The sequence below is a fragment of the Homo sapiens genome, chromosome 6 (genome assembly GCF_000001405.40).
Source record: "Homo sapiens chromosome 6, GRCh38.p14 Primary Assembly".
Taxonomy (NCBI): Eukaryota; Metazoa; Chordata; class Mammalia; order Primates; family Hominidae; genus Homo; species Homo sapiens.
In genome coordinates, this window is record NC_000006.12 from 111,738,359 (window position 1) to 111,752,619 (window position 14,261).

At 41.6% G+C, this 14,261-nt stretch overlaps 1 protein-coding gene across 20 annotated transcripts in view, besides 2 other annotated features; it reads right to left on the reverse strand.

Annotated features, from left to right (window-relative positions):
• Window positions 1–14,261, reverse strand: part of FYN (FYN proto-oncogene, Src family tyrosine kinase) — a 213,121-nt gene that overhangs the window by 78,027 nt on the left and 120,833 nt on the right. Inside the window, exon 2 of one of the 20 annotated variants that reach the window (XM_047418567.1) lies at window positions 5,147–11,574. The exons of 18 other annotated variants lie outside the window; for them this stretch is intronic. The gene's annotated coding sequence lies outside the window, so the exon portion shown is untranslated. Of the gene's footprint in view, window positions 1–2,622; window positions 4,849–5,146; window positions 11,575–14,261 lie in introns of those variants that run through there. One more of the 20 variants, XM_047418563.1, reaches the window with a different exon arrangement.
• Window positions 186–255: an enhancer, noted in NCBI's record as "active region_24952". NCBI's record gives its function as "activates an Ori minimal core promoter by ATAC-STARR-seq in GM12878 lymphoblastoid cells {active_cell/tissue: GM12878}" and the evidence as "EXISTENCE:reporter gene assay evidence [ECO:0000049][PMID:35858748]".
• Window positions 12,610–13,182: an enhancer, noted in NCBI's record as "OCT4-NANOG hESC enhancer chr6:112072171-112072743 (GRCh37/hg19 assembly coordinates)". NCBI's record gives its function as "activates a minimal SCP1, AML or CMV promoter by ChIP-STARR-seq in primed H9 embryonic stem cells {active_cell/tissue: H9 hESC(primed)}" and the evidence as "EXISTENCE:reporter gene assay evidence [ECO:0000049][PMID:30033119]".

A 14,261-nucleotide genomic window follows, 5' to 3' on the forward strand; every position in this document is an offset into this window, starting at 1 on the left:
TCCTCCCCTGCAGGGGTCTTGGACTGAAGGCTTACAACCTCAACTCACATCTGTTTTTGGAGTCAGGTGCCCCCAAGGCTCATGGCTGCAGCCAGGCAAAGCTGCTCACTGGAGAGGGGTAATGGGGAATTGCACATCCATCGGAGATGCTCCTCCCTGGTCAAAGGTAACTATTCTGAGGATCTGGGAAAATCCAGCACAGTATCAGCATGCTTTTGCTCACCAGCTGCCTGCTCTTCCCTCTTGGTCACCCCTAGCTGTCTGAGCAAGATGTGGCTCAAAACTCACCTCACCTAGTGATGGGCTTGGGTCGGCATTGGCATCATCCTCATTTTCAACACAAAGACCTAAAGTGCCCACCCAGCCCTGGTGCTGCTATGAATGTGATCCTCCCTGGCTGAAAGAGGAAACATCTAGGTGGGGCTTTAGAAGGTAACACTGAGGGGTGAGCCCTGTGAAGGCTGGCCTTTATTAAGCAATACTTTCAGATGAGGATGAGAAAGTAGAATAAAGAACTTCTTCTTGGTGGGGCGGGGAGGGGCTTTCTGCCTTCTGGTGTGAAGCTGCCCTCCCTCCTCCTGCTCTGTTCTCCCTAATGAAAGTTGTATAATGGTGCTCTGTCACCTGCACTTCCATGCATTCCTCCTGCCAAGAATGGCTTCTCTCCCCATCCCTACATGAAGCCGAATGCCTAACTCTGTCCATTGCCATCACTCTCCTATTTTGAACTGAAGTGACCCCAGGGCAAAGTACCAATGACCATGTTGCTATCGTTCTTTTAGGTTTAAAGATACCTACAAGGTGTCAAAAGCTCTACAGATTCCACTGGGCACCTGAAACCTGTCCTGCCCTTCGGCACCAGCAGTGCACGGAGGGTGGAGACAATCTGTTTAAATTGTTCACTGAGGACAGTGCAGGGCTCTGGCAAGATGCACATGCACGGGAGATGTGGAGGCTCTGTTGAGAGGAAATGGAGATGATGATATGAGATAAACACAAATGGAGTCTGGAATGGGGCTCAAGGAGGACATACAGGGAGCCCATCTCCCCACAACTTGGCCACATGCCCACAGCCCTGGCAGGGTTCTGGCTCCTGCCTGGGGATGCTGTGGTCCCACTGGAGCTGCCTGCTGCCTGCCCAGCCGCCTGTCTCATGAGAGGCCCCGCCGCTGGGCAGTTCATTATTTGAGTGGCATGTGGGAGAGAAACAGAAGTGATTTTTCTTATAATGGTTTCAGTTCCACTCCATCAGTTTTGAGGCAGGTTTCCTTCCACTTCTCTCCTCCTCCTGCTCTCTTCCTTTCTCATTCCCTCAGGGTGTCAGAAGTGTACAAAGCCATGATTAAGATGAAGGGTTTCTATTTTGAGTAGGTGGTTAAAAAGATTCTGGTTTCTTCCCTGTAAAATGTGGATTATGCCAACTACTATAAATTACTGATAGAAAGTTACTGATACTTGACAATCTTTTGTTGTTGTTGTTGTTAAGATGGAGTCTCACCCTGTCGCCCAGGCTGGAACCCAAAGGTGCAATCTTAGCTCACGGCAACCTCTGTCTCCTGGGTTCAAATAATTCTCCTGCCTCAGCCTCCCCAGTAGCTGGGATTACAGATGCCTGCCACCACGCCCAGCTAATTTTGGTATTTTTAGTAGAGATGGGGTTTCACCATGTTGGCCAGGCTGGTCTTGAACTCCTGACCTTGTGATCCACCCACTCGGTCTCCCAAAGTGCTGGGAGTATCTCACTTTGGCCCCTATCTAGTAAAAGCTTATCAACTAAAGGTTTTAAATAATTGAAAATGCTCAGTTAAATAAATACAGATGAAACCAACTAATAGACTCGAGAAAAAGTCTTCAAATGAATCCTACTCTTGGTCAAGGACTTCCCCTGTTGGGAATTATCCTGAGAACAAAAATGTGCAGAAAGATTTAACAACACTCATTTCAGTGCTGTTCATGATAATAAAAAAATTGGATACAATCTAGGCACTCAGAGGATTAACAAAGTAGGGTATCATACCAGATTCCTATGCAGCTGTTAAAAATGAGAACACAGCAGGACATTAACAATCCTGAAAGATATTAATGAAATAGTGAAGGGAAATATACAAGTCACAAAACACGAGGTAGAAACATAACTACTTTCCTTGCTTCCAATCTTGCGCTCTATACCCTCTATGACAGTCAGAGTCATCTTTTTTTAAAGTTACTCCCAGGCTTAAAATGGTTTCCTATTGTCTTTGGAATGAATTTAAATGATATGGTCATCCTGCTCTGGCCCTGGCCTATGTGTCTAGCCCCATCTTCTGTGGTTCCCTCTTCACACCTCCTCCCCAGCAACACTGCACACCTTTCTGTTCTTCTTTGAACACACTCTGCTCTGTTTTACTTCAGTGAGTCTGCACAAACTTTCCCCTTTGCCTGAAATGCTCTTCCCCAAAATACTCACACAGCTGGCTCCTTCTCAGGTCTCAGCCCAGATGCCACCTCTCAGAAAGGTTTTTCCTCTTTGGGAGGTGGAGGCAGGTAGATCATTTGAGCCCAGAAGTTTGAGACCAGCCTGAGCTACATGACGAAACCCTACTTTACAAAATACAAAAATTAGCTGGGTGTGGTGGTGCTCACCTGTGGTCCCAGCTACTTGGGAGGCTGAGGTGCTCAAGGAAGAACCCTTGAGGCAGGAAGGCAGAGATTGTAGTGAGCCATGATCGTGTCAGCCTGGGTGACAGAGTGAGACCCTGTCTCAAAAAAAAAAAAAAAGAAAGAAAGGTTTTTCCTGGTATCAGATCTTAATTGCCCATTGCCTGGTCACTCTTTCACATCACTGTTTTATTTGCTTCATGGCATTTAACAATCTCAGAAATGGTCTTTATTTAGGTGTTTTCTTGTTTATTATCTACCTCCACTCATGAGAAAGAAAGCTCAATGGGAGTAGAGGCTTTGCTGGATGGTATACCCATAATGCCCAAAACTGTGCCTGGCACAGAGCAGACACTCAGTGGATGCTAATGGCTATGGTGAGATGTTTATGTATGTACACACAGAGTAATGCATACGTGTGCATCTGCATAAAAGAAGGACAATAAGAGCACAGCATAAAAGAATATCTCAGGATGTTGAGTTTTGGATGGTTTTAAGTTTTTTCATTTTGTTTATATTCATTTTTTATAACAGTGTGTTACTTTTGAAATAAAAAATAATAAACCAGTTTTTTTTCTTTTCCCTTTTAAAGAACATGGTCATTCTAAGAAAATGGTGACAACAGCTGGCTTAAAACTAGAACCACAAGATGCCAGAATTAGAAAAGATCTTAGAGGACATTTGGTCCAATCCCACCTCTCGTTTCAGCAGAATGTGCAAGAAACTAGTCCAGTGTATTTTTCACTACACTAGTGGTTTTCGAACTTTATGAGCATGAGAATTTCCTGAAGGACTTGTGAAAACACAGACCACTGGGCCTCCCCCTGAGAATTTCTGATGCGGTTGGTCTGAAGCAACATCAAGCCTAAGTCCTGCGTTCTGACAAGTCCCAGGGTTATGCTGGCTGTGCTGGTCCTGGGCTACACTCTGAGATCCACTAGGCTATGCCATATTGCCTCTTACGGCTCCCTTAGAAATGTCTTGCTCTTTCTGTAGGAATGATAGTGATTAAAATAATCCCCCATGCTAAGGAAAACCCTAGCTTTCACACCCCCTTCCAGAAGTTCCAACTGAAAAAGAAGGGAAGCAAACAGGGATAAGTAATTTTTGAGAGCCTCCTCTCCTCCAGGCATTGTGCGGGATGGTCTACATTTTACTTGTTTGTTTAATCCTTTTTACTATAGAAAATCTAACCTCAGAGAGGTTAAGGAACTTCCCTAAGAGCAAACCACCAGGCAGTGACAGAATCAGATTTCAAATCCAAGTCTATCTGACTATAAAGTTTATGCTCATTCTCCAACTTTCAGAATGAAAAGCTGGTGGCATTCAGAGTGGCAAATCAACATCTTCCAGTGTAGAAAAAAACACCCTTAAGAAATTGTAATACATCACGTTGTTAATGGCACTAAAAGCATATACACTGATATTAACATCCAATCATTTCTCTGGGTCTGAGGGCCAGGTTTATTCATTAACATGATATTCAGCAACTTCTAACCCCAAAACCCCAGAGTAAAGATGATCCAAGTTGATGCCTGGCTTATTATTGCAAGCCTTCTGTGAAGTAAGTGGGAGAGGGGGAATTTATCATGGATCTCAGCTTCCAACAAAGGGAAGAATTTGCACATGTTCTGTGCAAAAAGGCCCTAATAGGCTTTGCAACTGAACAGAACTGTTCCACTCTTTGAAGAACTAAGTTTAAATTCAAAGGCTAAAAGCCAAACACAAAGATGGGAATATATCATTTACCATCTTATGTCAAAAGTAAACTAGAAACTAGTTATTGCTCCATTCCCATTTACTGAAGAGGACATAAACAAGGGACAGAGAAGTCCGGGTGACAAGGTCCCCATGCCTACAAATACCCGTGCAACCAATGAGTTACAATTTGTCCTACGTTTTGGTCACACACGACCACAAGTTTGAGAAAGTGCTATAAATATTGAGATCACAAAGGGGCTTGATAAGAATCTTTTTTTTTTTTTTTTTGAGAGGGAGTCTCGTTCTGTTGCCCAGGCTGGAGTGCAGTGGCACGATCTCGGCTCGTTGCAACCTCTGCCTCCCGGTTTCAAGCAATTCTCCTGCCTCAGCCTCCCGAGTAGCTGGAACTGCAGGTGCGCGCCACCATGCCTGGCTAATTTTTGTATTTTTAGTAGAGATGGGGTTTGGTTATGTTGGCCAGGCTGGTCTTGAACTCCTGACCTCGTGATCTGCCCACCTTGGTCTCCCAAAGTGCTGGGATTATAGGCGTGAGCCACCGCGCCTGGCCAAGAATCTTTTACATCGTAGTTTTGATCAGAATTCCAAAGAACAAGGTTAACAAAAATGTGGCTTCCTCTATCTGTATCCCTGTATTTCTTACTTTACATCATGATTTTTCTCCACATGTTTTATAACAGATCCCTGAGGCAGCTGTATAAATGGGTTTTACATGAAAATAAAATGAAATACTTTGAGTAATTCTGGCGACCGCATCAGAGAAATGAGGGATTCAACTGAGACAGCTCACGTGATCAGTCCCTTCCTGTGTCCTGTGCCAAGGGCCCTCGGTGCCTCTTCTTTTGGAAGCTCATTTTCTAATTGTGACCAAGGAAACTCCTGTATATTTGGTTAGCAAAGACAGCCAGTGGAGACCCTGAAAGGAAGATAAGTGGGAAAGAAGGAACAGAGCAGAGTAAATGCAAAAAAGGACAAGAGGATCCCAGAGATCGGTACCAGCACTGTGAAAATCTGATTCCAATGGTAACTTTGCTCCAAACACAATTATGAATATGTTTAAGATCTGGAGTGACTGTGGTCTCCTTGGTGCAGCAAATCAGTAAGGTGGACCACATTCACGGCCCCTCATTTGTTAATGTCTGAAAAGATCTGGCTCTCTTACTCCCAATAAAATGCAAAGGATTTCATTTATTATAGAAAAAAAGTGGCCTGAAAGATCTTGCAGAATGAACCCTGGGTCTCCAAGCCGATGAGCTGTCTTTGCAGTCAGCTTCTGACTTAGGCATCTCACATGGGACATGAGATTGGACCGCACAGTATTACGTATGAGCAAATTCTCTTTCTGCTCCCAACTCTTGCCCTTCATGAATAGCTGGAGAAGAGCCATCTTGCCTTCCCCAGAGGAATGATGCAGCTGCAGCTGCAAATGCAGCTTCAGCAGCCGTTATCCTACTGTTAAATGTTTGCTTTTAAATATTACATTGGCCCAGCAAAAATAGCTGTCTCGTCTTAGCACTGGGGACAAAGCTTCATATCTGCGTTAGGGCCCACACCTGTGTCCTAGCAGAGATTTCAGAAAAGGCATTCTCTAATTTCTCTCTGGATGGACAGTGACTTATTCCTTAAGTTTCATAACATATATTTCTGCAGTGGATGGCTGCTCTTGATTCTCACAGATTTCACAGTGGCCTTCAGCCTGCAGTGGTTTATGCAGAAGACAAAAGAATAGCTACTTGGCAGATAATACTCTTCAGGCCTTAGGGAGGGCACTCAGCTGGAAAGATCTGTTTTTGCTGGAGATCGGAAGTGCTTTTCCAGCAATTATTTGATCTTTCCTGGGAACTTGTTCTTTGGAACAATCTCCCAGTCTGGTGGGAACACATGGACTCCTATTCTGGTCCCAGCATTATCACTAACCAGATGTGTAACTTTGGAAAAATCATCAGGCTTTTACTACACGTCAGTTATCTCATTTGCCTGGTGGGAATGATGATCCATCCCCTGCTTAATTAATGAGATTTTTGTAAAGATAAAACAAAGTGGTATATGCAAAGGTATTTAGAAAATTTTCCTAGTGAGGAAAAAACCCCCAAAATACAAATATCACCTAACAATAAATATGCTTTTTATATCATTAGTGGTAAGTTTTCATTTTTTCTCTTAGAATTAGGTAGGAATACCCTTATGCAGAGGAGAGGTAGAAAGTACAACCCCGGCAAAGAATATTGTCATGTTCTCCTTATTGCTTGGAAAAATAAAGCAAGGAAAGTGGGACTGGAATACTTTAACATCCGCCCAGAAAAATCTGCTTTTGCTAGGGCCACACAACATTCTGGTTCTTATTTGTCTCCTCTTTGGTGGTCCCACAAAGAAGGCTACTGCTGCAGTGTTGAATGAATGAGTGAGTGAGTGAATGAATCTATCCATCCATCCACCTACCCACCCATTCACCCATCATTCATGGGCAAATACTATGTATCCAAGCAGTGTGCACAAAATACAGACGCGAATGCCATCTCTTTCACTGAAGGGTGTCCAGCCCATGGGAGAAGGCAGACAAGGAAAGGACCTGTTCTCTCCAATGTAGTAAGCCTGCTTGCCTGAAGAAACACATACAGTGTTCTTGAAGCTTGGGCATGTGACTCATCCCTCCTGCAAAAGCTGGGATGGGTTCTCAGAGGATGGGCATCTGAGTGGGGCCTGTGGGAAGGACTGGTGAAAAAGGGGGTGCGCAAGGGGATGGGCAGGGTGCTTTGCAGGCTGCAGAACAGCTCTTACAAAGGCATGGATTCAGGAGAGAGGAGCATGCCAGGGAGCAGCTTTGTTTGGTGTGACACAAGCCAAGAATGAGCGAATGCAGGTAACTAGAGAGTTAAGCAGGGCCCAAATGTGAAGGAGGGAGCAGGCCACTGTAGTTTCTGAGCAAGAGTTGCACAATGGATTTGTATTTCAGAAACAGTGCTTAACAACAGGCAGCATGTTCTGGAGGGAGAAGGTGAGCAGGTAAGTGAAAGATTTAAAATTTGATGTAAACATCTGCACATTGCAACACAGAACACTTTACAAAACATCCTGGCTTAAGAGCATTCTCTTCCAAATTCTGAATTAACACAGCCCACAATACACTGGGGAGTGAATACACTTATACCTTCCAAAAAAATGCCTTCAGTAATGTTTCCCCTGTGCAACTTATACAACATTGATTTCCCATGTAACTCTGGGATAATCTCCTGGGAAAAGGAAGGCACTGTATGTTTCTCAAATGTGGGTGACCACTGTGTATTGCAGCACCAGGAAGAGTCTGAAAGGAACCCACGTACCTGGTACAAAAAGATGGTGATAGTGATACCTGGTAGCTGTCTTTCAAGAAAATAGTTCATAAGTGAAAGAGAATTTCTAATAATTTGAGGAGGTTTAGCAAGGCGTGTGGATTTTTTAGTTCCCTCTTCTTTTTTTTAAAGTTTAGGCATAATTTATCCACAGTGCAATGTATAAACAGATTTAAGTTTACAGTTCAATGAGTTCTGACAAACGTATATACCTGTATAATCTAAACCCCCATCAAGATCTAGAACATTTTCATCACCCTAGAAAGATGCACTGGGGTCCCTTTGTAGTCAATTCCATCCCAGGCAAACACGGTTGTGATTTCTACCACGACAGATTAGTTTTCTCTGGTCTAGGGTTTCATATAAAGGTAATCATACAGTATGTATTCTTTGTGTCTACTTATTTTATGTGGCAAGTTTTTGACATTTGTCCATGATATTGTATATTCAGTAGTTTATTGCTGCTGAGTGGCATAGTAGTTTTTATTGCTTTATCCATTATAGTAGCTTTTATTGCCTAGTAGTATTCCATGGTATGAATATACCACTACTTAGTAGCTTTTTAACAGTTCTCTCTTTTGCTAAATAAAGTATGCAACTGCCTACTCATGGCAAAGCAAAAAAGAAAAGGCATGGGTGTGTAAGTTCTGGTGAAGTCACCAACTATTCTCTATGCTATCAGGCATTAAGGTTATGAGTGGCTTCATCTTTAGAATCCTCCAACAGCAACAAGGGCTAAAACGTCAGGTAAATTAGGACAAACAGAGAGAGGGTAGAGGGAGGGAGGCAGGGAGAGAAAGGAAGGGGGGAAGGAAGAGAGAGAGAGAATGAGAGACAGAGAGAGAGAGAGAATCCCTTATATTGTCTTAGTGCTATATATTTGGATCACAGGAGCAGATAACACACAGCCCTCAAAAGAGAGACGCTAATTTACTGAGAATTTATGTACTCAATATAAATGGTTAGGTACATAATTTAGATAACTAAAATATTCTTTAAAAAATTAAAATGTGTCCACAGAAACCTACACATGGCCTGGGATTCTACATTGTTTTTCCCTGTAACTGTCAATACTCTCTTGTCCAAGTAGCACTTTAGTAAGTAGATTAAGAGAGTCCAGCAGTGAAAGGAAGTGGCTCAAAAGCATTTTCAGAATTCACCAGTTTCCTATGAGATACTTGCACCCATGAGTGTCAGGTAGCTACTTGGTGTGATTTTTGTTATATTCAACCAAGAGATAATACCTGGAAGCTTCAAGGAAAGCAGATGAGGTCTTGCTGAAAGGGCTTATTAAGCAGAGCCAAGAGGCAAGTCAAGGAAAGAAGGGAGTTAAAGTCTCACAGTGTAAAAACTCCATTTCCTTACTCTGTGGAACTGTTTAAAGCAGCATCACAAAATAAACAAAATAACATCTAAAAAGTGTATTCTGTCTTCTCCTGCGCAGCTGTCACAATTTACTATGAAAACCAGACATGAACGTGTTCTGATGACTTGAAACACATTATTTGGGTCAGCTCCTCCCCCTGACATTATACACTGCCTGTCCTCTGAAGTGAACTAGTCGCTTTGACTCCAGCATTCCCCTATCATTGGAAGTGATGTTGGTTTGCATGGCTATGCTAAAGACACAATGGAAACGAAAAGCTCTCAGCCCTGGGTGGAGCCGGATTCAATTCCAAGAATAATGCAGATAGTGTCCTTAAAAAAAGCTGGCAGGCTTCCTTTCCATTTTTCGCACCAGATATACCTATTTGCTATTTTTCTGAAGCAATTTAATATTTGTTGAGCATCAACGATATGTCAGATCCCATGCTTCATGCTTCATTCTTACGAATCTCCAGGATAGGCACTATTATTGTTCCTGCTTCAAAGATGAGGAAAATAAAACAGCCTCAGCGTCTATACTCATTCATTACTATTCCATGTGTTTCCTTCCCTCAGCCAGTTGGAAGTGGAGGTTGGGAGCTGTGAAATATGAGGCACATAGAAAGCAAGATGAAGACATAGAAAGCAAAATGACTTTCCTCTTTGATCTCCTTCCTTACATATTTTAACATTACATTCTGTAATTAGGTCAAAGCGAGACATACCCGTGTTGTGAGCTACAGCTGAAGTTTAACAATTATTTCTTAGAAGATTGTTAATTAGACTGACTTGGGGAATAGGTTTTGGAATACACATTCATTCTGATAGCAGTTATAGCACAAGACATCTCATAAATAAAAGCCATTTAGAACATTATCCACAGGAAACGGCTGCAGCTGGTAAGGGAACTTTTGACATTAAGGAAATGCAGAACTTCATGGAATTAGATGAAGACAGGAATATTGTATCACAGAATGACGCTATCTTAGCAGGAGCTGGACCATGTTTTCAACAGACACACTCATTTTATAGCAGTTCATGCTTGCTCACCTCTCTGGGTTTTCAGGAGACATGCATGGCGTATCAAGAGCAAAAATTCAAAGAAATGGGAACTAGTACTCAGAGACATTTTTGATCTCAAGGGTTAGGGGCCTGTGGTTTGGTGTAGAGCTTGGACCTGTTCATCCATATAGACCTGTGCTAATAGGGTAAGCAAGCACTAACCACATGTGGCTGGTTCAAGATGAGATGTAATGTAAGTATAAAGCATATAACCAGGTTTCAAAGACAGCATGAAAAAAGAATGTAAAATGTTTAATAAATTTTAAAATATGATTACATGTTGAAATGATAATATTTTACACAGGTCGTCTTAAATTTAAAAATATTAACATTACTTTCATGTGTTTCTTTTTGCTTTTTAAATGTGGCTACTCGGTAATTTAAAATTAATTACCTGTGTTGCCTGCATTTGTAGTTTGTTCTAAGTCTATGGGAAAGGACCGGTATACTCAGTAATTGAAAAGATTAATCCAAATTGAAGATTTGGTGCATTTGATCAAAAGTGGCAAACCAACTGCACTGCAATATGTTTCCTAGGAGGTGAATAAAATGACTGAACAGAAACATGCATTCTACCCTGACCTGCTGGTTACCTAAGGTAAACCACTCACTCTTCCTGGGCCTCAGTCACTATAATGGTTCATCCAGATCATCTCGGACACTTCTTCTAGTGCTGACATTTGGAATCTGTGGCAAATTCCTTAGGGCAGGTAAATCATGAGTGAAGGTGAACTTTAAAAAAACCTTAATATTTGCTCAATATTCATAGCCCCAAATATTGCCTGCTGATCTCTCACATGTGACATGCCTTTAAGTCTCTCTGGAGCAACAGCTAAAATTGAATGGCAATGATAATCATGTTTATGATACACAGACTGAGCTGCCCTACGGAAAAGAGGATGCTTGCTCTATGTACCCCAATGAGTGGGTTTTACTTGACAAGATTATATTAGTAATTGGTAATTACTTTTGCACCAGCCGAATACTTCTAAGATGGAAAAACTTAAATGCACCTTAATAATCCAACAAAAGCTTATTAAAACATGAACACAAAATATTCTAAAATATCCTCCCCTGAGGGAGGGAGAACAGAACCTGGTCCTCTTTTAGTTCAGGTTCTACCCTATTTCTTTTCATGTTCAAAGCATGTAATTATCTGCTAGAAGTTATTCTGCATCTCCCAGGCAAATTATATACTTTTTGCATGATTGTAGAGTTTCTCCTTTTTCTTTTCCTTAAAAGGTAAAAAACTTAAATGTAGATAACACAATTATAATAGGGTAAAACTTTCAGCACAATGCTAGATAAAAACAAATATTTTAAATAAATATATGTTCAAAATATATGTTCAAAATCTGTGTGTGGAAACAAATATGGAATTAAGAAATGACAGGGATAAATGACCTACATGATGGAAAACTCGCTTATGATGGAGACCTCTAGGAAGACTGCATGATTTCTCCTGGAAAAAAAAAAAATCCCATAATTTGCATCCCCACATCTGTAGAATTTCCCTGTTACATCCAGTTTAAGTCTGACATCTTTAACTTCTGATCCAAGAGTGACAGCATGTACAACTGCTACTAACATATATGTCCGTTTTGAAGTAGCTCCTGCCTTTATGTACTTGGCTCCAGATTCCTTCCATTCTGACTTTCTGCAACATAACCGATACAGTTTGCATGTATGTCTCCGTCCAAATCTCATGTCGAATTATAATCCCCAACTTTGGAGGTGAGGCCTGGTGGGAGGTAATTGGGTCATGGGGGTAGTTTCTCATGAATGGTTTAGCACCATCCTCCTTGGTACTGTCCTCATGACAGTGAGTTCTTGTGAGATCTGGTTGTTTAAAAGTGGGTAGCACCTTTCTCCTAGCCCTCTCTCCTGCTCCCACCATGTGAGATGCCTCGCTTCCCCTTTGCCTTCCGCCATGATTGGAAGCTTCCGGAGGCCTCCCTGGAAGCAGAAGCCGCTATGCTTCCTGTACAACCTGCAGAACCACGAGCCAATTATACCTCTTTTCTTTATAAATTACTCAGTCTCAGGTATTTCTTTACAGTAATGTGAGAATGAATTAATACAATGACCATAAATGCCTGTAATAGAGGTAACCAAGTAAATATTTGTTGAGAAAAGAAATTTTAGGGATGCAGGCTCTTCCTCTCTCCTCCTTTCCTCATTTTCTTCCCTCCTTTCCTTTCTTTGTTGGCCAGACCACCTAGATTCATGCCAGTACAATTCATGTCATTTTTTTTTTTTTTTTTTTACTAACATTGAAGGCAAGTTGGGAAATTTTGACTGAATTGCTGAAACAAAGGGCATGCGTTCCCGCCATTCCATACTTCTAAGGAACTTATTTTAAAAAGCAAGAAAGGGGCAGCAAAGTCACAGAACAATGAAAGGACACAATGGCCACCTTCACTTTTGTTGAGACTGGAGAGATGGGAGTCGTAGACATGAATGAGTGCAAGCCTCAGTGGGTCTATTGTGCAAAATAAGTTTTACTTGAAAATGGAAAAAATGACCCTGCATTTCTCTTTGCCATTATCTACAGAGTCACACTGGAAAAAAACACCAAGAGAAGCAAAGCAAAAAGAATAGTTTCTATTGGCCTTTCCTTGGCATTGTATACTTTTATTCCTTTATTCTTTTCTTGCTCAACCTCATTCCCAACTATTTTACTATTTTGGGGGCACTGGGGACAGAACTTCTGGGAAACATAACACGCATTAGTCCATTTGTTTTCTCTGTGAATTCTTTTCAGCATCTTTGTGTAGCAACAGGAAGGATGTGGGCTCCCTTTCAGATTCAAATGAGGCAAATCAGCCCTGGCTCAGGTTGACAACATCATGTTTATGTTACACTGTGGCCTCAGAACGCCAGAACTGCTGTCTCTAGGTAGAATGGCCATTTTGTCCTGGGGCTTAATGTCTATTTTTAACATCAGATCCCTAGCCCATGTCTCACAAAAACAACAAACAATTAACAACAAAAACCCCCCAAAACTGCTGACACAGTATAACTACAGCATACTATTTTATTAAGAGAATTCTGAGTTTTAGAGTTGAAAAGATCAGTGTTTTCAAGGTATTCAGAGATATTTTAAATCATATAGGACAGATGTGCAGAAGTGGCAGTGTCTCCATTCAAATTCTTTCTTTTTTTTTTTGAGACAGCATCTTGCTCGGTCATCTAGGCTGGAGTGCAGTGGCACAATCACAGCTCCCTGCAGCCTCAACCTCCTGGGCTCAAGCTATCCTTCTACCTACGCCTCCCAGTACCTGGGACTACAGTTGTGCACCACCACATGTAAATAATCTTTTTTTTTGGTAGAAACAAGGTCTCACTATGTTGCCCAGGCTGGTGTTGAACTCCTGAGCTCAAGCAACCCTCTTGCCTCGGCCTCTCAAAGTGCTGGGATTACAGGCATGAGCCACCATGCTTAGCTTCAGATATTTCTTAAGCTTTTAGAATGTGGTAGGAAAATCCTACCATGTATTTTTCTCAGATTTATATTCCTAAGCATGTAAATCAAGGAGTAATAAATTTATAATATAAACAAATATAAGACTTTATTTTATAAAACTGGATGTTTATTACTAAGGCTTCTACCAAAAGTTCAAAGCAAAACCATGGAAGAGAATGTGGAGTGGTGCTAGACAAATATGTTAATACTGAATTTGGGAACTGAGTCTATTATTAATTCTATTAGTCCAACTTCGTGATCTTGGCAAGTTATTTATCCTCTCTTAAACCTCAACTCCATCCATTCCTCCATCTATCCATCTACCCATGATCCATCCAACAAATACATCCTCTCTACTAAATGCTCAGCCCTTGGTGAATTAAAAAGATGAATAAGCTATCAGCCCACTGGAGCAGCTTTTGATAAAACAAGTGTACAAATAATTCTATGCAAGACAATTGTCAGTTGGAAGTTGTAGGGTGCTAACAGGAGCTTAGTGGAAAAAGAAGTCACTTCCAATGGAGAGATCAGTCAAGGCTCCATTGAGGAGAGACATTTTGTTGTTTGAGAAAGAAGCAAGATTTCTAAATCTAGAGCAGGGTTGAGACATTCCTGGCCACAGGAAAAGCCAGGGCAAAGATGGGCATCAGGGAGGCATGGAAGACATTTAGGGAAGAGTGACA